Source organism: Homo sapiens, chromosome 11 (assembly GCF_000001405.40).
Source record: "Homo sapiens chromosome 11, GRCh38.p14 Primary Assembly".
Lineage (NCBI taxonomy): Eukaryota > Metazoa > Chordata > Mammalia > Primates > Hominidae > Homo > Homo sapiens.
Genome location: NC_000011.10, coordinates 95,083,275 through 95,110,913, shown reverse-complemented (window position 1 = coordinate 95,110,913; position 27,639 = coordinate 95,083,275). Strand labels below are relative to the sequence as shown.

Sequence of the window (27,639 nt, the reverse complement as noted above, 5' to 3'; positions counted from 1 at the left end):
GTTCCTTTAACTCCCTTCCCAGCATCAACCTTGTGCAAGTGTTTTGATGTGACAGAGGATCCCACAGGGCCAGAAGACTAAGAAAGAGATCAGGTGTCCCAGCTGAGACCAGTCAGGGGACTACACCATGGGACAATGGAGTGAGAGTAGCCCTGAGAGCAGAAAGGAAGTGACAGAATGTCTTAGAATGTACAGGAGGATAAGGAGTCTCTGCAGAGGGCTAGAATGACTGACTGGGAAGAATGGAAAAGGGGAGAGAGGCTTGTAATGTGTTACTAATGTTGGTCATTGGCTTTAAAAAGCACACACACACACACACACACACACACATACATACACGGACTTGAAAGTCAGCAAAAAAGAGTTGTCAGAGAGAAGGGAACCCAGTGTACCAGGGAGGGGGATCCTGTGCATTTGCCTCTGGTATTTTTTACAGACTGTAGGCTCCTCAAAAGTTGGGATCATCTCTTGTACTCCTTGTCTGCCTAAGTCATAATAGAGACTCTGTATATGGTAGGTTCTTGGTAGGTATCTGCTAATCAGTACACTGGTGACCATGATGGGATCAATGGAAGAAGAAGATGGGCAGAGCAAGGGGATGATATTGGGATCCCATGGAGAAGAGTCAGCGTCTTCTGAGAACCTCTTCTGAGAATGCAGGGGAGGATGAAAGGAGGGCAGATGAGGGCTGGTGTTGGCAATTACTCAGGGAAGTGGTGATCTGCTTCTCTGCCATGGTGGCCAGGGGCCAAGAGCATAGGGAAAATTCGGAATGTCTTTAGCCTCCGAAGGCCACCATGCCAGGGAATTTACAGAAGAGGGAAAAAGACCACTGAAAAGAAAGGCCCCATGGATGTCAGCCAGGACAAGTGGGGCAGGGCAGCTCTGCTGAGGCCAAGGTTTGAGTTTTTGTACTTACACCCCCAGCAATGATCTGCAGTCCAGAGACAAGAACAGAAAAAGAACTGGCCTAGGTGTGGTGGATATGAACCCTGGCAGCCTTGTCCCTGCAAACAGATTGAAGTACCTGACCTCCAAATCCAGGTGGGCATGGGCCCAAGGTTGCAGGTGCTAATGGCACCGCTGATGTGAAGAGACTGAGCAGTGCAGGTGCAGGTAAAGAGCAAGACAGGCTCAGTGGTGATGGGGAGGAGAAGGGTGGATTCTCGAAGGAGCAGCATGGCAGCAGGTAGCAGGCCAGGTGTGGCCCTGCTGCTGATGGGCAACTGGTGTGAGTGGAGACAGCGCCTCAGAGTGTGGGACACAAGTGGGCAGCCGAGTTTGGCAGGCTGACCTCCAAAGACAAAGCAGAGGAGTCTGCCACTGCACTGAGACGGTATGTTTATCCATCAGTCTGAACCACTGAATTGAAGGGCCAGGGCCAGTGCCCAATTATCTCTGTGTTCCCAGACCTAGCATGATGGTCCTGCACACCAGGGAGTGACTGGCATTTGTTGAAAGAATGATCTCATTTGAGCTCCACAACAATCTTCTGATGCACATAAGATTTCCTCCAATTTGCAGATGAGTCTCCAGAGAGAACTGGCTCTCCTCTAATTCTGCTCCTTGATCTGCTGCAAGGAAAAGGTGGTCCTGACAACAGACCATCAAAGTGGTTATTAAACTCTCAATGACTCTGACTCATGGAGGGTGGAGTTTCCTTCCCCTGGAGAATTTTAAGCTGAGGCTAGATAAGCACATGTAGGGGATGATTCCGACAAGATCCTGTGGTCAGGAGATGACCTAGGGAGCTATCCAACTCCGTGGGGACAAAGACGCTATTTCCTTAGGGGTTTGTTTTATTTTTCAACAAGAGTTAAAATAATAGAATGAGCTGAACAGTGGGTGTTCCCATTTTATTTCTGCTGTGTGAACTACAATATAGGCACACACCCACACACACTGGGATGTAAAAGGAATGCCAACACCCCTGCTGCCATCATCAGGTGGGTCAAAGAGCCCCTCCTTAGAAAAGATCGTGGGTGCAGCTGATAATGAGAACATCAGATAATCTTATCAGAGCTGCCTACAGGGGCCTAAAGGTCCTCTGCACAGTCACACACAGTAGGATGAACTCAATCTGAGGCTCGGGTGAGTCCTAGGAGAACCTACTTACCATGGGAAATACCCAGCGAGGGAAGGAGCTGCTGCCTTTCAACAATGGAGGGGGAGGATGGTGGGGCCACAGCAGATTAAGGACATTTGAGGAGGAATAAAGCATGAGGCCTTTTCAGCTCTCAGGAAAGAAAGTGCCAACCCACCCATTTCAGGAAAAAAAAATCTTCCGTGCTTGGCATCTAAAATACTCTTTATCCTCTTGGGAATAGAAACCGCTTTAGAAGAATTAGGGGAATGCTCATTTTTCTTTTTTCTTTTTTTGGGTGTCTGTGTGTGTGTGTGTGTGTGTGTGTGTGTGTGTTTAGAAAAGAGAAATGCAGAGCTTTTCATTTCCTGAAAGGCCTTTTAGCAGAGCATGTCCTTGTCCTCTCCGCCTTCCTCCAGTGAATCACCCTTCCTCTGGGCTCCCAGCACCACTCACACACCTTCCTGGCTGTGGGAAGAAGGACGCATTTCCAGCTCTGGCCTGTGCTGTGCACACCCGTAGGTGTTGGCAAACTGTGGGAAAACAAAGACAAATGGCTAAAGAGCTCTCTCCCGAGTCAGAAGACGGTGGAACGGAAGATAAAACGTTCGAAAGGGTGGGTGTTCTACTTGCATTTCAGACTTCCCTTTTTCTTGATTAGTTGAAAAAATAAAAATAAAAGGAGGAATTCTTTAAATTCACCAACTCCAAACTGGCAATAAATGCAGGCAAGAAAGCCCTGTGTGAAGGCCAATGGGTGGCCTGGGGGCAAACAGACTCTCCCGGGGACACCTCTGGCTGCTCATCACACACAGCGAGGAGTTTCAAGCTCCTCCAGGGAGCCTAAGAAAATGTGCGGACTCCGGCCGGGCGCGGTGGCTCACGCCTGTAATCCCAGAACTTTGTGAAGCCAAGGCGGGCGGATCACGAGGTCAGGAGATCGAGATCATCCTGGCTAACACGGTCTCTACTAAACCCCGTCTCTATGAAAAATACAAAAAAATTAGCCGGGCGGAGTGGCGCGCGCCTGTAATCCCAGCTACTCGGGTGGCTGAGGCAGGAGAATCGCTTGAACCCGGGAGGCAGAAGTTGCAGTGAGCCGAGATCGCGCCACTGCACTCCAGCCTGGGTGACAGAGCAAGACTCCGTCTCAAACAAACAAAAAAAAGTGTGCGGACTCCTTTAAGACCTTTCCAGACTGCAGTACCTTCTCAGGTTACATCAGCCCTGGTCTTCTTTGGTTTCCTTCCACGTTACTCACAGAAGCCTGTTTTCCACTCTGCTATCCTTTCCAGAGCAATTATTCTTAGCATTGACTGTGTGGTACAGAATTCAGAGGAGTCCCTTACATTGAGAAGGCTCCATTTCTAATTTTTTCCACCTTCTGAGTTCAGACAAGATCAAAGGTTCTTAGGCCTGGCTGCACATCAGAATCACCTGGGAGCTTTAAAAATATCCTCAGGCCTCACCCAGACCTTTTTTTTTTTTTTTCTTTTTGAGACTGAGTCTCGCTCTCTCGCCCAGGCTGGAGGGTAGTGTCCCGATCTCTGCTCACTGCAAGCTCCGCCTCCTAGGTTCACGCCATTCTCCTGCCTCAGCCTCCCGAGTAGCTGGGACTACAACCCAGACTTCTTAAACCAGTAAAAAAAAAGTTCCCCTCCACCCAACCCCAGCATCAGGGTGTTTTTAAATTTCCCCAGGTGATTCTAATACGATTGTAATAGGAACCATGGGGCTAGATCTCCATCAGGTTCTCATTGATCACTCTCTGAAGGAATTAAGCCCCTACCTTGACAGCCACTGCAGGAAATTAGTGATGTCTCCTTAAATCAATAGTTCTCAAATTCAACTGAATTAAGGAGACATCACTAATTTCCTGCAGTGGCTGTCAAAAATGCAGACTCCTGTTCTTCACCACAGAGATACATTCTATTCAGTATGTCTGGGGTGGGACCTCCATATGCATTTTCACCACCATCCCAGGTGATGCTGACGGGGGAAAGGGGGGGGTGTCTATGAACCTCACGCTGAAAAACAAATGTTTAAATCATTTTGGGGAGTGCCCTGGCTAAGCTTAATTTATTCCCGTGATATTGAGAGAGGAATTATCCACAAATCGCAAGAGCTGTCATAATGCCAAGGTAGAGAACAAAATACTGTGGGTCCTTTGGATCCTCCACCTATTAGATCAGCTAATATTCTGATCATGTAACATGTGTAAGCAAGGACTTCCTTCCTCAGTCCTAGGTGGAGTGAGAAGTCTACTTTTGCTATGCATATTCCTTTGAACATTTCACTACTCTAACACCTTCAATAACATCCTATTACTTCCTGATTAAATGACAAACTGGCATATTCATAGGCCTCCCCGCCAAATTTCTCCAACTTCTTCTCTCAAACCTTCCTTTATATTCAACCAGAATAGGTCAATCCCCCCACTCATCCATGTCAGTTACATGGCTGTAATGTAAATGCGCCCCACTTCTCTCTACAACTGCCCCTGTCACTACCAGCTGGGGATGCTTTCACCATTCCTCTATGCTACCTAAATCCTATCTGGGTGCCAAGCCTCAGCTCTGACCTCACAGCTCCTGTGCTGGGTGTCCATCCTTTGTCTTCCAGATCCATCTCCCCTCTTCTCTGCCCTACTCTGCATCTGGGGAGGCTGATTGATTTAGATGGGAGGCTGACTTTTATGGGAGGCTGACTTGTAGGAATCACATCAGCTGAGCCCCGTTGCCCTCTGGCTTCTGACTGGAGCCATCAATGGGAAGGCGGGAAGAGAGAGGGACCAGATCATACATTCATTCCCTTGCTTCCCTGCCTGGCTGCTGTGGCTCTGGCTCTGGCTGAATTTTTGTACAGACACGGCTCTCACCAGGCTCCTACCCTTACCCCACAGGCCTAGGATGGTCACAGCTTCCTGCTGTTGCTAGTCCCTAGGTGCATCCCCATAACTGGTTGGCTCTCTTAATTCTTGTGCCTTCTGCATCCATGGATTCCACAACTGTGGATCAAAAATATTCAGGGAAAAAATTTAATAATACAACAATAAAAATAATGCAAATTAAAAAGGAATGAGATCTTGTCCTTTGCAGGGACATGGATGAAGCTAGGAGCCATTATCTTCAGCAAACTAACGCAGGAACAGAAAACCAAACACCGCATGTTCTCACTTATAAGTAGGAGCTGAACAATGAGAACACATGGACACAGGGAGGGGAAAAATACTCACTGGGGAAGGGTGGGCTGAGGGGAGAACATTAAGGAAACAAGCTAATGCATGTGAGACTTAATACCTAGGTGATGGGCTGTTAGGCACCGCAAACCACATGGCACACATTTACCTATGTAACAAACACACATCCTGCACATGCACCCCGGAACTTAAAAAAAATAGAATAATTCAAAAAAATAAAACAAGACAGTATTACAACTATATACACAGCATTTACATTGTACCAGGTATTATAAGTAATCTACAGATGATTTCAAGTATACAAGTAGATGTGCCTAAGTTATGGCAAATACTATGCCATTTTACATAAGGGACTTGAGCATGAAGGATTTTGGTATCCACAGGGAGTCCTGGAACCAATCCCTCATGGATACCAAGAAACAACTGTAGTTTCCTCATTAAACCCTGTTGGTTAGACTATTTTGAGAGTGCCATCTGTTTCCAGCCAGGCCCCTGACTGATACGGCCCCAGTGAAATCTTTTCCAAGGCTCAACTCACCCGGTCCTGGGAGATATATCCACAACCAAGTATTTCTAACACTGTCTCTGATAGAGTAGCATTTCTTACACATGACCCTCTCCCACCCACCTCCATGCCAGTCACAACCAAGGGCCACCCAATCTGGCCAGCAACCAACCATATGGCTCTCTTGGGTTTTCAGTGTAAGAAACGTAGTGACTGACAACAGCCAGTGAAGGGTGTGAAGGCTCCTAGATGCACTTTGGGGTTGGCAGCCAGGCTGAGCCATGGGAAAGCCAAACTGTTTAAAAGAGAGAAGATACAGACAGGGTAGGAAAAAGACCCTGAAGACTCTGTGGGACCCTTTGGTTTCTAGAAGGTTCCCAAGTCTGGTTCCTTTGAGCTCAGTGTGTATCTCTTTTCCCGTGCCTGTGAATCTACCTGTGATATCTTTCAACAGCCCTGCCCTTCCCTTGAGTAAGCTTGGATAAGTTTTATGATTCATGCATCAATGAATTTGAAATATCAGAAATACCATCCTTATGAGAACCCAGTAAGGCCTTTGAGGGAATAGGGATATGAATCTTGCAAGCAATGGAACCTTCTAAACTCCAGGATTAAAACTGGGGAACAAATGAAGATGATGAGATAAGTTGTCCTTCTTTCTTTTTTTTTTTTTTTTTTTAAGACAGGGTCTCACTCCAGTTGCCCAGGCTGGAGTGCAGTGATGCGACCTCAGCTCACTGCAGCCTCGACCTCCCAGGATCAGGTGATCCTCCCACTCAGCCTCCCGAGGAGCTGGGATTACAGGCATGTGCCACCATGCCCAGCTAATGTTTTCTATTTTTAGTAGAGACGGGGTTTCCCCACATCCAGGCTGGTCTGAAACTCCTGGATTCAAGCAATCCACCAGCCTTGGTCTTTCAAAGTCCTGGGATTACATGTGTGAGGCACTGCACCCACCTGGGACAAGTTGTCTTGATCCCGTAAGTCTGGGAGCAGATCAGAGGGGGCAACCCAGGGGACAAAGAGAAGAAATTTCTACCAAATTATTCTAAAGAGAAGAGGGGTAACAATAACAGAGGATAGCACAGAGCCACTGAATCCAGACTAAAAGCTGTGGGCAGTCACGAGCAAGGTGGTGACAGAGCAGGTGTGAAACGAAGGGCACTGCAGCAATAACACCCCACAGACACAGGAGCATTACACTCATCCTAGCTGTCCACAAGGCAGACACGGTCTGGGAAGCAAAGGCTACTTATTCATTCAACATGCTTAACATATATGCGCCGAGTGTTTAGGCACAATGCAAACTGCTTTTTGCACACATTGTCTCCCTGAATCTTAACTCCTCTGTAGGAGAGGGACAATTTATTAGTCCCATGCCACAGATGGGGAACTGAGCTCTAAGAGATTTGGTAGCATTTCCAAGGTCACACAGCTGATAAATGGCAGAGGTGGGACTCCCACTACAAAACCCATTTTCTTAACCACTCTGCATGTTTAATCCTTGCCCCTTAGCGGCTAACAATCTAGTGAGAGAGAGTTAAGTAAACCAGTTCTTGGTCATGATCTGCCTTTCCGATTAAGTAATAAGACACCCAAGGGCAGGGACTGTGTCTTGTTCCAGGACGACATCTTGGATTCCTATTTCTTGATTTAGTCCTAAGATCTCAATAAACGGTTTTCATGCTGATGAAAATGACAACACTGATGAAATCAGTAGCAGCTGGATGTCTGAGGACTAATCCTTTGCAACACTATGAGTCTAGAGCTGCTGACCAGGAATGAATAAATAAATAAAAAGATAACCAAGCAAACAAATAAACAAGGTGAGTTTGTTTCCGTTACTGAAGCTCCTTGTAATTCCATGCCTACTTCTTAAACCCCAATTCACTGGTAGAGAAGGGAACAAAGTCATGATAAACTCTTGTCTTTGATTGGTTGTGACCACATTTATTGTAGAAATGAATGGTTAGACTCACTGAGAGGAAACACACACACACACACACACACACACACACACACACACCCACTCTGCCTAGTTCCTTAGCTTCCTCTTTAACTGTGGGAGAAATTGAAAAATAGAATGGTACCCAATATTGACAGCAGTGAAAGCAACAGCAGTAACAAGCCTGGCCAATAAGCTACCTGGGCATGGAATTGGAGTCTGAGAGACATCACTGTCAACTCAATTATGAGTCGCTCTCATCTGAAAACTGGGAAAGTCCACAGCCTGTCTCTATACAAGATTATAACCATAATAAATAGCCTTTCTCCAAAGCCAACTGGCAAAATTCACCCTTCATTTTAAAGATCTTAAAGAGCATTAGAGAAGGGGACTTAACAGCCCTTAACTCTTTTCCGTAACATAATAACTCTCATTTTTGTATCCAACCTAAATCCTCCTCAAGTTATTTAAGCTTAGCACTTCTTTGTTTGTTTGTTTGTTTTTGTTTTTGAGACAGAGTCTTGCTCTGTCAGCCAGGCTGGAGTGCAGTGGTGCGATCTCAGCTCACTGCAACCTCTGTCTCCCAGGCTCAAGGGATTCTCCTACCTCAGCCTCCCAAGTAGCTGGGATTACAGGCATGTGCCACCACGCCCAGCTAATTTTTGTAATTTTAGTAGAGACAGGGTTTCACCATGTTGGCCAGGCTGGTCTCGAATTCTTGACATCAGGTGATCCACCTGCCTCGGCCTCCCAAAGTGCTGGGATTACAGGCATGAGCCACCATGCCTGCCCACCTTTTTTTTTTTTTTTTTTAAGCAGGAAAGAGCCATCTGCTTCACGATGATATGTAATAAATATAATTTGAGGTTAATAAAATTTACCCTTAGGCAAAATAATTTCCCTTTTTTTCTCCTGGGTTTTCTCCTGGGCTTTAAGAAGGTAGCTCTTCTTCAAGGCCCTCTAAATGTGAGGCCAAATGGCAGTAGGCTTTAGTAACAGAACACCAGATTAGAAATGTGGAGATCTGTCAGCTCTGCTGCTTACTGGCCTTGTGACTTCGGGCAGACCAGTGACTCCCTGGGCCTCTGCCTCCTCTCCTTTAAGAGGAAAAGGATAATGCCCTTCTGTGCAGGAACAGGGAAGGAGAAGGAAGGTCAGATTTTTTCAAGCCACCTGTGAGTTATATATTCTTGAAAGAAATATGCAATGTAGCTGGACAACTGAAAATGTCTGTGGAAGAAAAAAAATTAAAGAAAAATTAAAAAGGAAAATATGAGGTAGACTTTATATTTGAAGTCCTGAGGTCTTCTATTTCTAAGTTAAAATGCTTAATAAAATAAATTGTTCACATTTATGTGCAAACTCACCTACTAAAGGGGTCCCTACACTCTTCTCCATTGGTATGGTGGTTGTTTGAGGGGCTTATTAGATGTGGCCTCATAGAGTTCAAAGAAATGCTGAACCTTGGGAACTAGAATAAAAGTTATGAAATAGTCCGTGTGTCTCTAGGTGTTATGGAAATTTCTAGAATGTTACATAAATACACACAAATTGTAAAGACTGAGTATCTTTCAGAAGTGGGAGCTTTTCTTTATACAGTTCTGAAATGCTAAAAAAAAATTTTCACCATAAGCATATGTTATTTTTATAATCTTAAAAAACTAAGTATTGTAAATAACAACCACTACCACCGAGACAATAAAAAGATTAGTTGAAAACTGTCTGTACGTGTACATCTAGGCTGCTGTGCCATAATAAGAACAGGATTGCACAGTTCGCACATTTTACTGCCACTGCTCAATCCATATTTGCCAAGTGCTCACTGTTCAACAACATTTTTTTGATCACAAACTAAGTGCTGGAATTACGCTACACCAGGGTTTGGCAAACTCTAGCTCATGAGCCAAATCCAGCCCACCACCTGTTTTCATAAATTAAGTTTTCTTGGAACATAGCCATACTCATTCATTTATGTATTGTCTGTGGCTGTTCTGTACTAAAATAGCATAGTTGAATAGTAGCAACAGAGACAATATGGCCCACAAAGCCCGAAATATTTACTATTTAGCCCTTCACAGAACAAGTTTGCTGTCTTTGTGTTAGACAACCAGGACTCAATGGTGAGCACCAATAGTCCTGGCCCCTGCCTTCAGGGAACTTAGAATCTAGTTGGGTGCCACTCAATTAGTCACACAAATGAATGTATAATTGCAACTTATTAGCAAAGAAAGGTGTGTTTGGTGCTACTAGAGAGTATCATGGGCAGTTGACCTACTTGGGAATATCACGGAAGGCAAAAAAAAAAAAAAAAAAAAACACCCAGCAGGTACAAAGATCTATGATAGGAGAGAACATGGACATTTTAAAAAGAAAAAAAAAAAAAGTAGGCTGGGCATGGTGGCTCACACCTGTAATCCAGCACTTTGGAAGGCCGATACAGGAGGATCACTTGAACTCAGAAATTTGAGACCAGCCTGGGCAACATGGCAAAACCCCATCTCTACAAAAAGCAAAAAAAAAAATACATAAAATTAGCCAGACGTGGTGGCACATGCCTGTGGTCTACTCAGGATGCTGAGGTGGGAGGATCGCTTGAGCCCAGGAGGCAGAGGCTGCAGTGAGCTGAGATCGCACCACTGCACCCAAGCCTGGGCAATAGAGCAAGACCCTGTCTCAAAAAATAATAATAATAAAAACCAGAAAGAAGCCAAAGTGGCCAGAGTTAAAGACCTGCAAGTTGAGTGAAACCAGATAAGGCTGGAAAGGGAAGGGACACAGATTATGCAGGATAAGGAGCTGTGTAGAGCACGATAAGGAGCTGTGTCCTTATCTGAAGAGCACTGGGGAGTCCTGAAGGGTTTCCAAAGAGGCCTTCAGAGTAGAGAAAGGATAGAGGAGAACCAGATGGAATGGGTTAACCAGTCAGGAAGCTGTCTTGCAGAGACTTAGATAGATGATGGGAACTTGGGCCCTAGAGTTCAGATAAGTCTGTGCAGGACTCGTATAGGAGGGAAGTCTGTCCACTAAGGAGCAGAAAGTAAGGTCATCAACCACCCCAAACACCTCATGTCTATGAAGGAGTTATATCTGGTTCTATGATGGATACTATGGCTCTAGATACAATGGAGATATCCAAGAATGAGAATAAAAGTTTTTTATGGTTCACAAACTTGGCTTTCTTTTCCCTGTGTTTCTGCGTGTCCCGAGAACATAGTGGATGCCCAATCTTTCAGAAACATCAACCGTAGATATTTCATTATGGGGTTCCTATTTAACCATGCATCCTGGTCCATTTAATCAACAAAGTTGACTTGGATCCCTTAGTTATAAACACTAAGATAACAGCAAGCAGATTTCCTGAAACCAGTGCTGCCATCTCACAAACATAGAGGGAAGGCACATTTACCAAGCTGTGATAAAGTCGGTATAGGGACAAATGCAAGAACCTGCAAAGATGAAGGACTTTAACTTACTAAACAGTCATAAAGGAAAAAGGAATTTTGGCACGTTCAAGGAGGTATACGTTCTGAGTTAGAGCAAAGTCCCTCCTCTTGTCCCAAAGTAGGACTTACTGCATTACTGGGTTATTAAGTTTAAGTGTTCTGCTGGTCTTCCTTCCTGGGAGCCAAGCTGGCTGCAGAGAAGGAGCTCCTGAACAGACTAGGGCTGGATGATGGATGTGTGGGTCTGCCACCTCTGCTCAAGGAGCGGAGCTCTGGAGGGTGTAGTCGGCCTGGGCACCTCCTTCCCACCCCTAGGGACAGCTGGCATTGAGACAGGAGATGGGCTCTCCTCAGGCTCATGCACCACATCCAATCCAACAGCCTGTCTGGCAGCAATGTCTCCATACGCCCAGAGATGCAAGACTCTATCCCCTACCCTCTTATCTCCGCTACTCACTGAGATGCAGGGGACAAAATCTGTTGCTCAACAGAGTTAACACAGTTTTTGGGTGATCCATTTTTCCCAGCTCTAACCTGGTGCCTTATGGAAAATGTCTGCTTGCATAAGGATAATAGGAAGAGCTCAAGATGGATCAGTATAGAACAAGACTGTACAAGGGGGCAGAGCACCCTCGGCCCAATGGAGTACTTGCAATAACCCCACCCTTCCTATAGCCACAAAGGTACACCTGGAGGTGGTGAGCCTCTGATATTCATGGGCGTGTGACTGCCAGAGCTAGAAACACACCCTCTATAAAATCCTGGTAAATGAACATGTGAACTTTTAAAAGATAAACTTCATTCAAGAGCATTCAATAGGAGCTCACCCAACACATCAACAGGTTTGCAACAGAAGCAGTCCATGTGTGCTCTGGTGTCAGACAGCTCAGGTTCAAACCCGAGCCCCACCTCTTCTTAGCTGTGTAAAAATGCAATAGTAGTTTAACCTCTCTGGGCCTGTTTCCTCCTCTAAGAAGGATAATAATAGTACCTATTTCTGACGATGCTGAGGATTACATGAAATTACATGTGAAAAAAAAAACACTAGAAAAGTGCCTCCTGCCATATGATAAGCATCCAATGAGCTCTAGACTGTACTTACTTGAAGGTCAATTGAATACCTGAAGGTATCTCGCACTCAGAGTGCCCAAAACGGAGTACCTTTTCCTCCTACAGCTGTATCAAAGTATAACTGATATACAAAGAATTGTACATATTTAATGTGATGAATTAAATGTGCAATAAATATGTAATAACCCATCACATAATTAATGTGCTGGGTTTGGATGTATGCAAATACCCATGATACAATCACAACAACCAAGGAGGGAGACATGTCCAACACCTCCCATACTTTCCTTGTGTCCTTTTGTTTGTTTTGTGTGCGTATTAAGAAAACTTAATATGAAATCTACTCTCTTAACAAATTTTGAAGTGCACAATACAATATCATCAACTATAGGCATTACATTGTACAGCAGATCTCTAGAACTGATTTATCCCATGTAACTGAAACTTTATACCCATTAAACAAGAGCTCCTCATCTTCCCCACCCCTCAGCCCCTGGTAGCCACTATAGGTTGAGCATCTCAGATCTGAAAATCCAAAATCCAATATGTTCCAAAATCCAAAGCTTTTTGAGTACTGACATGACATTCAAAGGAAATGCTCATTAAAGCATTTCAGATTTCAGATTTCCAGATTTGGGAGGTTCAGCCACTAATTCCAAAATCCAAAAAAAAATCTTCAAACTGAAACACTTCTGGTCCCAAGCATTTCAGATTAGGGATACTCAACCAGTATTATATTCTTGCTCTTATGAACAAAAGCGAGTTCTTGATATGGCCCCCAAACAGCCCCTCCTTTTGTATCCTTGTCTTATTCATGACAACTCCATTCTTCTGATTATTCAGGCCCAAACCCTTGGAGTCATCTCTTCCCTTTCTCTCACTCCAAAGACTATGAGCTCTTTCTTCACAATATATCCAGAATATACAGTGCTATCATCTTGATCCAAGATACTACTGTCTTGTCAGATCACTGAAACCTCCTAACTGGTTTCTTTGCTTCTGCCCTTAACACCACATGTCTATTCTCAATGCAGCAGCCAAAATGGTCCTATTTAAATGTAAGCCAGATCACATCGAAGCTCTCTGCTCAGAACCCTGCACAATTGCTTCCCACTTCACACACAGTAAAACCCCAATATTTTACAAATAGCTCAGAAGAATCTAAATGATCTGCCGTCTCCTTCCCCACTTCTCTGACCTCATCTCCTGCTACTCTCATTTACTCTTCTCTAGCCAAACCAGCCTCTTAGTTCTTCCTCAACACACTCATGCCTCCAGGCCTTTGCAATTACCATTCCCTTTACCCAGAACGTTTTCCCCCTCTATAGATGCCTGCATAATTGGCTTTCTTACTTCTTTCATGTCTATACCCAAAAGTCAACTCCTCAGTGATCTCTTCCCTGGATGGAAACCTTGTTTTAAACTTCACCTTTTCCTTGATATCTCATAGCCTCCTTCCTTGCTTTTTCTCCTTAACACTTATCACTGTCTAATATGCCTTTTTTTTTTTTTTGAAACAGGGTCTTACTCTGTCCCCCAGACTGGAGTGCAGTGGCATGATCTCAGCTCACCACAGCCTCTACCTCCCAGGCCCAAATGATCCTCCCACCTTAGCCTCCATGAGTAGTTGGGACTACAGGTGCATGCCAGCACTCCTCGCTAATTTTTGTAGAGATGGGTTTTTGCCATGTTGCCCAGGCTGGTCTCGAACTCTTAGGCTCAAATGATCAGACCGCCTTGGCCTCCCAAAGTAGTGGGATTACAGGCATGAGCCACCATGCTTGGCACCTTGTCTTTTATTTATTTATTTTATAATCTATATTCTCTATTAGATATAAACCCTATGAGAGTAGGTATTTTTGTCTGTAACCACTGCTCTCTTTCCAGGACTTAGAATAGTGCCTCACACATAGCAGATGCTCAATAAAGATTTGTTGACTAAAATGAATTGACAGAGGGCTCAGGGCTTTCTTAAAGCATTAGGTGTCCCTGCCAACTGGAAGTCAATAAAAACTGAAGACCAATCAGCCCTTAAAGTATAAGTCAACTGAAACATGTAATTACATTTATATTTTCAAATAATATTTCAGCCATCTGTTTATTCTACAAAGTAAAATGTACCCGTATTTTCAGCTTTGATTAAAAATATAAACTACCCTCTGTTTGACCTTTTGATTGAGCCACACTTCTGTTCAGCACTAGGTCAATGAAGCATGACTGGAATATTAAACGGTGCTTCTATTCTTGGTTCAGCCTATGAGTCAGTTTCTTTTTCATTTCTCCTTCCTTTCAGTGGCCAAATAGATATATCGACAGGCAATGAATTATTACTATGACAGATGTTAAGTTTCATGAAAATGAAAGGGTAAGTCACCATTCAGAAGATATAACATGCATCTTGAAGGAGGAAATTTGAAAAAAAAAAAAAAAAAAAAAAAAAGCTTTCTTGACTAACAGTAATTCTAGAAGATAGACCAGATAACTGAAAACAAATGCTACTGGCAAATAAGAGGATTTACTTTCTAAAATTTTCACTTTCAGAGATGAGAGTTTAAAAGGAAGAGAAATTTTATGCCCAAAGAATAAAATCTCAATTCCCTAAGGAAAGCTCCATTCAATCACCATGAATCACCAGTAACGGAGCTAAAAGAAATCTGAAGCTGGCATTTACATACAGAATGGTATGTTAGTAGTGAAACCATAAACCATCCAAAGAACTGGATTAAAAATAAAATAACAAGTCTAGTCAGCCAGTTTGGATTCTGGAGAGAAAAAACTAACATTTTAGTTAGAAAATAGTGTGATAGAGAATAAAGAGAGTTAAGAGCTTTGGATTTGGGCAGTCATAAACTCCTGTCCAGGTTTTGCCATCTAGAAGCTGTTTGACCTTGGATAAGTTACTTAACTACTCCGAACCTCAGTTTCCTAAACTATAAAACACAAGTCATAATACCTAGAGTTGTTATAGAGATGAGATGAGTTAGAATGTGAAGACCTTTGACATGGTAAGGGATCAATAAATGATAGTTCCTTGCCTAGATTGTCCAGATATAAGTCTAAACTGAAAGAATAGTATAGGGAATTGTCACCACTGGACTGCTTCAGGACAGATGTCCCTGAAATATTCTGCCAACGCAGGTAAATACCTTAACTTGATCCTGAGAATGGCCTGCAAAACAAAAGGAAACACTAAATCCAAAGATGAAGAAAAAGCCAGAAGGGAAAAATTCAACAAAGGTTGGAACCATCCCCTGGGTCAGGCACTTCCCAGTCTTATCCAGTCTCAGCACAATAGACTGGAATGCCATTGCTCACTGTTTTCTGACAACACACTTCTTGGTTTTCCAGGACAGAGAGGGTGGAGATGTCTTTGGTACCTGTTTGGTTTGTTTTTGCTTTTAATCACTCAAATCCACCCTCCATCCATTCATTCAATCTTCCACACATTTCATCTCTCATCATGCATTTATGAAGCAGCTACTGTATGAATGTGGGACATACACCAAGCATTTGAGAAGATACATGGATAGATATTTTACTTTTTAGGAGAGATTTGCAGAATTGTAGATGTCACCTATCTAATCCAACATTCCATTTGTGTGTGTGTGTGTGTGTGTGTGTGTGCGTGCACACGCCTAGCACCTACTGAAGTAACACCTTATATACATATTAATATTTACTAAGAGTTTACCATATTCCAGGTACCATGCCACATGCTCTCATGTGTTATCTTGTTTATTTGTCACAACCTCTCTATAAACACTTTTACAACCTTTAATGAACAGATCCAAAAAATGGGGCTGGAAGTCACATAGCTTGTAAATGGAAGAGCAGGGATCTGAATTAAGTCTCTTAATTAAGGAGTAAGAATCAGGATTGTCCTGTTCACTGCATTCCTTACACAGAGATTTAAGTGTATGATGCTCTATATATCTGTTCTCTGACACAATGAAAAGAAGGCTGAGGTTGGAACAAATTGAACAGTATTTCTGTTTCAGGTTGTATAAGCCATGGATGGAAATTAAAAATCAAGGACTTAATCAAGGTTCTAACTTGAAACAACCATTTGCATTTACTAAGATCTGAAGTAAGACCTCACTGTGCCCTCCAGGAAAATGTTTTTGCAGTTAACCAGAATATCCCCTTCATTCCAGAGTAAAGTGACACTTGAGCAACCTTTATGCAGCCAAGTAAGTGCTCCCACTTGTCCTATGACTGTCAGAAAATAGAAGTGGAGTAGAAATTAGAATTCTCACATAAAAGATGAAAATTAGAGTCCTAAGACCATTAGCGCAGTGGATCCATTGTGAGATCAAAGAATCTCCACAGTGTATCAGAAGAGTAATCAGTAATGAGTTCAAAAATAAGCTGTGTGACCCTAAAACACCTCAGTTAACCTCCCTTAGCCAGTTTCCTCCTTTCTACAATGAAGATAATATCTACCTCACAGTATTTTTTAAGATTGAACAAATATACACTATTGTTACTGAATATATAAATTATATATTATATAATTAATATGTATAATATATTAATTATATAATTTATATATTCAGTTCCTTCCATGTTTATAAAATGATAGAGCTTTATATGTTGGCTTCTGGCATAAATCAGCAATGCACTTTAGAAAGGTATCATTGGCATCTTATCTAAAAATTCTTCCATTAAGTGGAAAGGAGTCAACAAACTAAAAGGTTTGAGGCTTCCTGCACTAAACCAGAATCCAGTTCTCAGGTTTCTGGAGTCTTGACTAGAACTCCTCCAAACCATCTCCTGTAGGCAGAGCAGAGATCAAAATCATTTGGGATAGTTTCAAAGGCCAAAGCTAAGACTGATGGAGTGGCTGCAGAGCAGGGTTCCAGCTCTGCATAGGGAGCATGTTTGTAACAGTTGCTGCTGGCCAGCCCTGGTGCAAGCTTCTGAAACAGGAAGCGCCCCACTGAGAAAACTGAAGCAGAACATCTCACCTGCTCCTGCCTGATTGATCCTCCCAACATCAAATTATTTTATTCAACACTTATCGCGTGCTTTCTATAAGCTGGGCACTAGGAAAAGAATGAGTAAGATGCAATCATCATTCCTCAAGGGCTCAAGTTGGGGAGACAGATACATAAGCAGATAATTACAAAACAACATGGTAAGTATGAAAATAGAAAAACTATAAGAGCACTGAAGGGGTGAACCTAACTTGGGAGGTGGATACAGTTCAGGTGGGGAATTCTTTCTGGAGGAGGTGACACCTCAGCAGAGTCTTAAAGGATGGAGTAAGGGCAGGAAGTGAAGGATAAGATGGGGTCTGTGTAGAAAGGGAATTTGGGCAAAGGGAATCAGCATGAGCTAAGAAACAGACATCACAAACAGTCTGGTTTATGAGAGGAACTCCAGGCAGCTGGATAATGCTAGAACATAAAATATGAGGGTGGAGCATGGTGAGAAACTAGATTGGAGCTGGAGACAGGAGCTAGGCTATGGAGAGCCTGTAAACTGCATTCTGCAGTGTGAACTTTGTCCTGTAGGGGCTGGGCAGGCAACACTTTACAGATTTTCAGCACAAGAGTGACTAAGTTTCTGTGATCTTTGACTTAGGAGATTCTTTTCAAAGGGAAACTGCAGTGTGGACTCAAAAGCTGCCGAACTGGGCTTTGGGAATTCAGTGTCACTGCTGCCCTGCCTGACTCATCACTGGAGGCAAGCACTGAGTTCCTTTGGTCTCCTGCCTCTTCCTCCCCTGTGTGCGGGTCCTCTTGGTAACACTGACCTCATAAAAAGGTGATGTGGGTACAAGGAGACTCAGCATTATAAAATGCTTGGAAGCCGCCAAGGGTACACATTGAGCCCTGAGCATCTTTCTGCAGTGGGGATCTTGGCTGGGAGGCAGGGCCTCAGGGAGCAGGCAACAGTGGGGGCAGGTTTGCTGCAGTGCACTCCAGGCCCAGCTGCACCTCACACCTCCTCCTCCCTCCCTCTCTCCCAATACTCTCTGGATCCTGGCTGACTTGACTTGAGGTCGAGCGGGTGGATGTGGGAGGCCAGCCACCTTGCAGGGAAAAGCATCCTGCAGTGCTCAGCCACAGTGACCATTCTGACCTCTCAGCACAGCAGGAACTCAGGCCCCTTGTACTCTTCAGAACCGCTGTACATCTTACCTCTCAAGCTGCCATTTGTAACTATTTCCACCCTCCCTTCCCATCTTCTTTAATCTCCACAGTCCCCTTCCTCATTATCTCACCCAGGGTCTCCATGTTACCTGGTTCCCTGTACTTCTTTCTGTCAAACTATGCTCCTTTACGACTCACTCCTTCCCTAGCTGCATAAATGGCTCTGCCTCCCTAAGCCTTCCTTGGTGGCTCCTCCCCACCTGATCCCTCCCTTCCATGATTCCTTTTTATTCTGAGCAATTGAGTGCATTCATCTATTTGTATTAGTTTACCTGTTCCAACTTCTTCACGCACAAATCCCTGAATCTGCCATGCCTTTCTCACTCATGATGTTTGTTCCCTCTGCTTGAAATGTCCTCCTCCTTGCCTCCCTTCTAAACTCTGCCTTATCTTTCCACACACAGCAGAAATGTCATCCTGACCCTAAGGCTTGCTTCCATCACCTCAAAGACAGATTAAATCTAATAGGACTTTGTTCACCTTTATTAAATTATGGTTTTTTGCTTAGGTCATAGCAACAGCTAGTACTTAGTACTCATGTGTCACACACCTGAGAACTTTATATATGGTAACTCATTAAATCTTCACACCACCCTATGCTATTATCTCCAATTTAACCTGCCCAAGTTCATAGCTAGTCAGTGGAGCAACTAGGATATGAACCCACATAGCATGGCTCTAATCAGATACTACACCACCTCTCCACCCAGCAAACTCCACCTGCAGATCAGGTAGCCTTTGTTCCAGAACTGCACTCAGATCTCTTGGTCCCAAATATCTGGCACACAGCAGGAGTCACTAAATGTGTTCTGAATTTAACTGAAATTTGTTTAGCATCCATTCCCATGATTTCCTCAGACGTATGTTCTGTCTCCCCAAGCTGTCCATGAGATCAAGGGGAAAGAACTAGCTCATTTGTTTTCTTCGCAGGCACACAATCACAATGCAAGATGAGAGGTGGGGAACACCCTGTGAGCTCTAGGGGTGCAGCTGGTGGAAAACTAATTTTGGATTTAAATGTGTCTTGTGTGTGCAACTGACAACGTCTTTTTCACATGCCTGATCTCGACAAGTGTTATCAACAGTTGAGGTAGGTGGAAGGATGTGAGGAAGATAAGAAAACTAGGTGCAGATTGTTTGAGACCTGGCCAAGACCTCAGAGCTAGAAATATCTGAATGAGATTACAACCCACAGGCTCTGAATAAAGCACCTGAAAGCCAGCCTCCTGTCCACTGGTGTGGTCCTGGGCAGCTGTGGCCGTCAGGAAAGGGAGAGCGTTGGGTCAGTTCTTCCCCCAGCAGCCTGGGCAGGGGTGGGAGGCTGGTGAGAGGGCAAAGGGGAGTCTGGCAGGGTGTTCTAGAGAGGAGGCCAACTGAGGAGAGGTATTAAGAGCAGGCCAGCAGGTTCGGAAGACTCTGAGGGCTTCTCAAGTGTTTGGTCACCTTTACCAGACGGGACAGAACACCATGAGAGGTGACACGATTTCCTAGTGGTATGATAATATAGATATGAGGAGTCAGGAAAAACTGGCTTATCTTTCCATCAGTTGGAGGTAGTCAATGTTTCCCTATCATTTTTAACTACCCCATTGCGTTTCTAAAAATCTGTATCTTTATTTCATTGTTCTAATTCAACACAACCGCAGATCGAATTTACTCAACGCCGTGGTAGAGGAAGGATTTTCAGGCTAGGATGAGCTCTGCAGAAGAGAAGCTTTACTTAGTAGAAAAGGCAGTGAATTTCTAGACAGAGACCTGCCCCATCTTACTAACTGGGTAGTCTTCCATATGTCTCTTCACCCCCTGGGTTTATCTCCTCTTCTGTAAAATGGGGATGAAAATGCCCACCTACCCACCTCCAAATGAGTGCTATGGCAATAAGTTGCACGAAGGCCTGTGAGCGCCCAGCCTAGGCTTTCTGCGGATCTGAACGGTCTCCAGGGTCTCTGTATCAAGCTCTTCACCATTCAGGAATGAAACACTGCGGATGTCTGCTCAGAAATGCAGGGAGAACCTCCTCCCACAGGGGACCTCCCGCCCTGCAGCTCATGAAGTGAAGGCTCGCAGATCGCCAGGCTCTTATTGTAGCTCGACAGGGGCGAGGCAGGCTAACTCCGGGGACGCAACAGGGTGGACCTGGAACCCGGGTTTCTTGGCCCAAGGCACCGAAGGCGTAGGGATTGCTGTTCCCGGCCCGCCCCTCGCGGTAGCTGCAACTGGGGGCATGTCCAGCGGCACGGTCTCCGGCGCCCGCAGCCCGGCTCGGGAACCACTTCGCTTACCTGCGGCTCCACCAGCCATCGCTGCTCGGCGCCGCCGGGCGCAGGGCGCGGGGCGCGGAACGCGGAGTACACGGGGATGCGGTCCCGGGTGCTGTAGAGGGTGGCGAAGCGCTCAGCACCCTCCGCGCGCTGACAGATCTTCACGTGGGAATCGGCCGCCAGCCCCGCAGGCGGGGTCCCGGCGTAGAAGAACTTGTCACATTCGCCAAAGCCGGCTTCCTCCTCGCCCACGAGCCGGCCTTCCAGCAGCCCAGCCAGGGCGAAGAGGCTGCCCAGCGCGAGCCAGCGCGCGGTGCCCATGGCGGCCTCTGCGAGCGCGGCGGGGCCGAGCGGCTGGGCTGCCGCGGCGCGAGCTCTGCAGGCTGGGCGGGGAGCGCACTACGCAGCCGAGCAGGGTAGGGAAGGGAAGTCGCAACCTAGGCGCGGCGCTCTGCGGAGCCGGGCGGGGCGGCCCGGGCGGCGGGGGCGGGTCCGCGTCGGGAGGCCGCGCCTCCCTCCCTGAAGATGGCTGCAGAGGCCCAGGGCCGCGCTCCGCGATGCTGACAACGTACCCTGGGCTGCGCCCGGGACTGGAGACGCGGGTCACCTGCCTCCGCGCCGCCTGGTCTCAGCAGTCCGGGGGACGCGCGCTACCAAGAGTGGAGAATCCGAGTGGGGCGGGCCTAGTCCCGGGGCTGGGAAGAGATAGTCGCATGGACTGGGCGCCAAGAAGCCTGCTGATCGCGCGCGCCCCACGGCCGCCCTGGTGATGCAGAGGGGTGGCGTGAGATGCTCGTGGAGCTGCGGCTGGTTCGGAGTGGATGGGCAGAGTTCCCCTCTGAAATTTCATGAAGATGCGTCTCCCACTCTCCACCGAAGTACTCAACGACCAGCACACGCATACAATTTTGATGGAGTTTTTTGTTTTTTGTTATGTTTTTTTAGCTCACCAGAAACTCAGAGAGTAAAGAAATACTGTTAAAGGAAGTTCCTAAACTAGGCAGACAGTATAACCCTGTGTGGTTTTCTTGGTGCAAGTGTTAGAAACAAAACCGATACCAAGCAAGGAAGGAGGCCAGCCAACGTCATTGGTCAACAGGTTGGCCAATTCTTTCCTTCATTTATCCCTCTGAATGCCTAGGTGCCAGCCTGAGATAGGCACTGGATTACCACAGGGGTAAACAAGAGCAGGGCTCCTGCGGTCACAAAGACAGCCTAGTGGGAAAGTTTGTCATTAACCGAGGAAACATGCTATTAAAGGGATAACTAAAAACTGAACACAGATCTGTGAGACCCTGACAGCTACAGGGGTTCAGGATGTAATCCGGGAAGGTTTGCCTGAAGAAGTGGCATCTGAGCTGAGACCTGGAGGATGACATTAACTAGGCAAGGAGGAAAACCATGTGCTAAGTGGTCTCCCACAGAAGGGAACATGATGTATTGGAGGAATTTAAGGAAGGCTAGTGTGGGTAAAGCGCGGAGAACCGCGTGGGGGATGATGGGAAGTGGGGCTAAAGGAGGAGGCAGGGGTCATATTACTCAGGTTATTATAGGCCAGAGGCCTTCAAACACTTTTTGAGAAGGCCCATAATGAGAAAAGTTTGATGAAATAATTCTTATGCTTATGATTGGCATTGCAATTTCATATTTCTGTTCTACTTCACTTTTTTAAAAAAGTGCTGGTGTTGACCCACTAAATTGTTTCTATGAGCCACTAATGGCTCATGACCTGCAGTTTGGAAAAAATATTGTAAATCATGTTGAGGATTTTCATCTTTTAAAGGTGGTGACTCGATTCTTTTTGCTATCAGGGAAGAGACTGGTAGATTGAAGTGGCACAGAATAAATGGGTGGCTCACACCTGTAACCCCAGCACTTTGGGAGGCTGAGGCAGGCGGATCACCTGAGGTCGGGAGTTTGAGACCAGCCTGGCCAACTTGGTGAAACCCGTCTCTACTAAAAACACAAAAAAATTAGCTGGGTGTGGTGGCGGGCACCTGTAATCCCAGCTGCTTGGGAGGCTGAGGCAGGAGAATCGCTTGAACCCAGGAGGCGGAGGTTGCAGTGAGCCAAAATTGTGCCACTGCATTCCAGCCTGGGCAACAGAGCCAGACTTTGTCTCAAAAAAGAAAAGGAAAAGAAAAGAAAAACACCCCATAATTGCCACAATCCAGATAAGAGATGGTAGCTTGGACCAGGATGGTAGGATGGTGGCAGCAGAGATAGGGTCAAGGCAGCTACCCAGGGCCAGGGCCTGTGCTCATCTTACGATGTCATCTGTTTCCCCAGTGTGCCACTACAGGGACTGAGACCAGAGCCTGTTGATTCTGGCCTAAGCTGGCACAGCCAGTGAGTCCTAAGACAGATTTGAAACAGGTCTCTCTGCTTCCCAAGCCTGGCCTTTTCTTTTAACTCACAGCGCATCTGTAAGGTGAGCCCATAAAGAAGGAAGCTCTTCAAGAGATTATACATTGGAACTTAAGAACAAATTTCTTACAGGTTTTAATTCCGGAAAATGTTGACTATGTTTGGTCCCAGAAATGAAACCAAAGTTTGTATCTTAGTTTTTTTAAAAAAAGGAGGGGACACATTTAGTGTGATGTCACAGAAGAGGCTAGACTTGAAGTCCCCTTTGATCTGGATGATGACCCTGATCATCTGGTACTAGTATCTCAGTCATCTCATCCTTGTAGGCTTCAATCAAGTCCTCCCACAGGGACAATGCTGCTCCTGGGATGCTGGGAGGATTATAGGTTTTACAGGATTTTAAAAATATTTACATTATTTTATAAGGTTGAATATAGGGTTCCCCAATGTTGACTTATGATGTCTACCATAAAGATATATAAACACAGTTGAACAACTAGAAATCCATCCCTCTCTTCTCTGAGTTCTTTAAACATTTATCTGTTATGATACTTATCATGGTAGAGTGTTAATAGTCCCTGTATCTGTCTTCTTTATTAAATCATGTGCTCCTAGGGACAAAGGTGGTTGGTGGATCCCAGTGGCTACCACAAAATCTGGAGTGATTAGATGCCAAATATGATTATGTTGTATTTTAACAAATGCAGAAAGTATAATACAATCATCATTGGCCTTTATGACTAAAGTATTTATAAGACTTTAATTCACTTTCTCAAAATTTCTTGATGCCTGCCCGCCACCTCTGATAAGCATAAATATCTCTGCCACTCAGTCCCTGTGGCAGACTTTAGTTTTTTCCCCAGCCCTCTATCAGTGACTGACACACATATAACACTGAACATTTGTACATCCCACAGCCAGGATGATTTTGTTTATTTTCTTTAGTTTATAGTACAAGACAATAGATTTTTCTTCCATGTGCTTGCCTTCCACAGATAAAATATTACTTTTGCAAATTACAAATGTTCTCACCCCAAGATTCTGGAACAACCTACAAGGTAGGAATGCCTTGATCTAATTAAAACATTTGCTAACTGCTGATTTTAGGGGAAAACTGTCTTTAGCAGCATCTGTATGTGTAAAACATGTAGGTCCATCAATAATTCACTGCTGTCTCTACATTTGGTCACTGACTCTCTTCTCACAGGGAAAGAGGTTTCAAACCAGATCCTCTTAGGTCTCTGCACTCAGACCCAGCCAAAGCTGGGTTCCATAGCCTTCAGCAAAGGCTTGAGGATGAAAAGTAATGGTTGATGTGGAATAAAACATTTGACATGCACTTCTGTGGCTTGGTTGGTTCTGTCCAAAGTTATTTAAAAATATGAGCCCAACTAGACACTTCTTTCCCCTGCCTCACTGCTCTGATGATAATTGCATCTCTACCATCACACCTTTGACCAAGCCATCCTCATTTGTCATGCCCAGTTTTTATCCCGTCATCCCTTCTAATCCACTCTCCAGCTGGGATGACTTCCTAACATAAATCTGATGATGTCACCCTACCCTTACAGCACTTAATCACTCTCCATTTACCTTGGGATGCAGCCTGACATACTAGCTGACTTCCATGACCCCAGAGACCTGGCCTTTCCCTCTCAGGCCTCATCTCTCTCCACTCCCACCTTGCCCACACGCTCAGCTTCTTATATTTCCATGAATGCACAGTGTTCTCTCTTTTGTTTTGTTTTTGAGACAGGGTCTCTCTGTCACCCAGGCTGGAGTGCAATGGTGCAGTCACAACTCACTGCAGCCTCAATGTCATGGGTTCAATTGATCATCTCACCTCACCCTCCTTAGTAGCTGCAGCTACAAGCGTGTGCCACCACATCAGCTAATTTTTGTATTGTTTGTAAAGACAGGGTTTTGCTATATTGCCCAGGCTGGTCTGGAACTCCTGAGCTCAAGCGATCCATCTGCCTTGGCCTTCCAAAGTGCTGGGATTACAGATTTGAGCCACTGAACTCAGCCTGATGCTCTCTCTAGTCTTTGAAACTTTGCATCATAAACTACTTCCCTTGTCCTGGAATTCTCACCACCCATTCTCATCCCTTCACTCATTTCATCTAGCTTTTTTTTTTTTCCCAATAGTCTAGCTGACCATCACTTCCTCAATCACTCACCTTCCTGACAAGCATGTCCTCAACTTTACTCCCTCCTCCCCTCTATGAGGTTAAGAGCCCCTTCTAATTATGCCTATTAAGCCAGTAACCCCGTTTCGTAACTGCTACCTTTCCCCTTAGTCATGAACATAGTGCCTACTATAGAGTAAGCATCTAATACAGTGAGTGAGTAGATGAATGAAAGAAACTTTCTTTATGAAACTTCATTTGGGTCTTCATTGCTCTAATTCATTCATTCATCCTCAGAATGTTTTTTGAACATCTACCATGAGCCAGCAATGGCACTAGATGCTGGGTATTTAAGGGAAGCAAAGTTTAGCCTAGTTCCTGCTCTCCTGGCACTCAGGCCAGCACCTCTCAGTGTCATGTGGGCAACCAGAAGAGAAAACACAAGCTAGCTAATTATTTGCAAGTGGCTTTGCCCTAGACTAGGGCAGAGCAAAGCAGAGAAATCTTCATGCAGCTAGTGAGTTCTGTAACATTGAGTTCATGCTATACCCATCTTCATTACAGTGCAAGACTGACACAGACCTTGGCATCACAGAACTTGAAGTATGGTACGGAGGACAGACAGACAAGCAATTACAATACAGCATGAGAAATGCTCTGATAAGGGAAGTACTGTGTGTTGTGTTGCAGAGAAGTATAATTTAGGCGGAGAAGCTCTGGAAAGACAATGGGAATGGTGGAAAATCATACTTAATTATGAGATATGTTGAAACATCATTCACAAACTAGAATAACAATTAATTTCTAGACCCCTAGAGCTACTTCTTTGGCTCTCCTCTCTTGTCTCTCTAGCACATATAAGGAATTGCCAAATGATTAGGAAGCTAATACAGTTTGGATTACCAGGAGAGGTGAGGAAGCTGAGGAGTAGTTCCTATTGGGGTTAGAATGCCTGATTTTTTTTTCTAACAATGACCAAATCAAAGAGAGCCTGCCTGGCTGAACCCATGTGTGGGTGGCAGACAGTGTTTTACTGAGTCAAGAGAGTTGCTGATGCATAAGCAGCAGGAGGTTGAGTCATGTTTACCTGAAATGTGGGCAGAGCTGTCTTCTTTCTAGTAAAGCTAAATGTGGATGATGTTTAAAAATAATAGCAGTTGTTGTTTAATGGGTATAGAAATTGAAATTTGCAAGATGAAAAAGTTCTTGAGATCTTTTTCACAACAATGTGAATATACTTAACATTTAAAAAATGGTTAGGATGATTAGTTTGATGTTTTGGGTCTTTTACCACATTAAATAGAAAAAACTAATATCAGACTTCACATCAATATGGATGTGGATAGAGGAGAAACTTATTCCTTCATTCAGCAAATACCGAGTGGACCCCACAGGCCAGGCTCAGTGCAGATTGCTGGGGCCACAGAGGGTATAAAACATGGTCTCAGCCATCCTGGAACCCACAATCTCAGCTTACCACCAGGTCATCTCTATTTTCAACACAGAACTTTATACATTTATTTCAGAAATACACCTGCCTAAGTAACAATTTCATTGTAATTACTTATGAGTTAAAACAATTGCTATTTATTTTAATTGGTAGAAAAAAATAGGGAAAACATTTAGTCCCATCTCTAAGTCTGTATGTGTCTGTCTTAGTTGACATGTAACAGCATCAGGGAATTATAAAAGACTCCCAAACAAAAAGACAGACAAATGGAAAAACCACAGGTCTTGGCATCAGGAGGTTTTGGTTTAAATTTGAGCTCGGCCACTTACAAGCTATTTGAGCTCTCTGAGCCTCAAATTCCTCATCTGTAAAATGGGAATAGTAATACCTATTTTGTATTATTGACATGAGAATTAAATGAGATAACCAATATGAAGCATCTAACCTATAGCAAAACTCAATAAATGCTAGTCCTTTCTTTCATCTCTATAAGTAGATGGGCAGAGTTTCACTTAGAGAAAACAGAATTATGAAAATCTGGAACTTACAAGACAAGTATTTTAGGGCTCTGGTTTATAATTTCAGAAAGAGTAAATTCAGTTTATAAACTGGTTAGCTTCAGGATGCAACCTGACAATTCAATTCCAAATCAAGATAGGACCTCTGAAGCACAGAACCTTTCCAGTACAACTCCCTAAGACCAAAATACCCTTGATCCATTGACTTTGATTAAGTCTCAGGCAGTTTTCCAATGCAATAGCAGTGGGATCATTGTGGGCAGAGGAACACTCCTTAAGAAAATGCCTATGTGTAGGAGGCGACAAAGAGAGATAGACACATTCTCTTTCGTGGTTTGCAATGTTAACTTCCATAAGGTTCAGGCAACTAAGTAAAATTAGAAAAAAAAAGCACATTGGTAGATATTAAGAAACACCTTCCCTTGTAGAGGTGAGATGACAGTATTCTGAAGATGAAGCAGGAGGGGAGCAGAAAATCCTAGTGGTTCATGCTTAGTTAGACCCAGGAGG

At 44.5% G+C, this 27,639-nt stretch overlaps 1 protein-coding gene across 1 annotated transcript in view, besides 7 other annotated features; it reads right to left on the bottom strand.

The window, feature by feature from the left end:
- ENDOD1 (endonuclease domain containing 1) overlaps nt 1-21,068 on the bottom strand; it is a 42,800-nt gene extending 21,732 nt beyond the window's left edge. Inside the window, exon 1 of the mRNA NM_015036.3 lies at nt 20,687-21,068. Within this exon, the coding sequence (NP_055851.1) occupies nt 20,687-20,986 (300 nt within the window). The 5' untranslated portion in view covers nt 20,987-21,068. The remainder of the gene's footprint in view (nt 1-20,686) is intronic.
- Nucleotides 1,599-2,798: an enhancer, noted in NCBI's record as "CDK7 strongly-dependent group 2 enhancer chr11:94841280-94842479 (GRCh37/hg19 assembly coordinates)". NCBI's record gives its function as "activates an origin of replication core promoter dependent on BRD2, BRD4, P300/CBP, MED14 and CDK7 cofactors, with strong dependence on CDK7, by STARR-seq in HCT116 cells {active_cell/tissue: HCT116}" and the evidence as "EXISTENCE:reporter gene assay evidence [ECO:0000049][PMID:35650434]".
- Nucleotides 14,361-14,410: an enhancer, noted in NCBI's record as "active region_5414". NCBI's record gives its function as "activates an Ori minimal core promoter by ATAC-STARR-seq in GM12878 lymphoblastoid cells {active_cell/tissue: GM12878}" and the evidence as "EXISTENCE:reporter gene assay evidence [ECO:0000049][PMID:35858748]".
- Nucleotides 17,695-17,989: an enhancer, noted in NCBI's record as "tiled region #7470; HepG2 Activating DNase unmatched - State 8:EnhW". NCBI's record gives its function as "activates a minimal TATA promoter and a strong SV40 promoter by Sharpr-MPRA in HepG2 cells {active_cell/tissue: HepG2}" and the evidence as "EXISTENCE:reporter gene assay evidence [ECO:0000049][PMID:27701403]".
- Nucleotides 17,695-17,989: a silencer, noted in NCBI's record as "tiled region #7470; K562 Repressive DNase unmatched - State 8:EnhW". NCBI's record gives its function as "represses a minimal TATA promoter and a strong SV40 promoter by Sharpr-MPRA in K562 cells {active_cell/tissue: K562}" and the evidence as "EXISTENCE:reporter gene assay evidence [ECO:0000049][PMID:27701403]".
- Nucleotides 20,817-21,246: a silencer, noted in NCBI's record as "silent region_3846". NCBI's record gives its function as "represses an Ori minimal core promoter by ATAC-STARR-seq in GM12878 lymphoblastoid cells {active_cell/tissue: GM12878}" and the evidence as "EXISTENCE:reporter gene assay evidence [ECO:0000049][PMID:35858748]".
- Nucleotides 21,257-21,316: an enhancer, noted in NCBI's record as "active region_5413". NCBI's record gives its function as "activates an Ori minimal core promoter by ATAC-STARR-seq in GM12878 lymphoblastoid cells {active_cell/tissue: GM12878}" and the evidence as "EXISTENCE:reporter gene assay evidence [ECO:0000049][PMID:35858748]".
- Nucleotides 21,387-21,666: an enhancer, noted in NCBI's record as "active region_5412". NCBI's record gives its function as "activates an Ori minimal core promoter by ATAC-STARR-seq in GM12878 lymphoblastoid cells {active_cell/tissue: GM12878}" and the evidence as "EXISTENCE:reporter gene assay evidence [ECO:0000049][PMID:35858748]".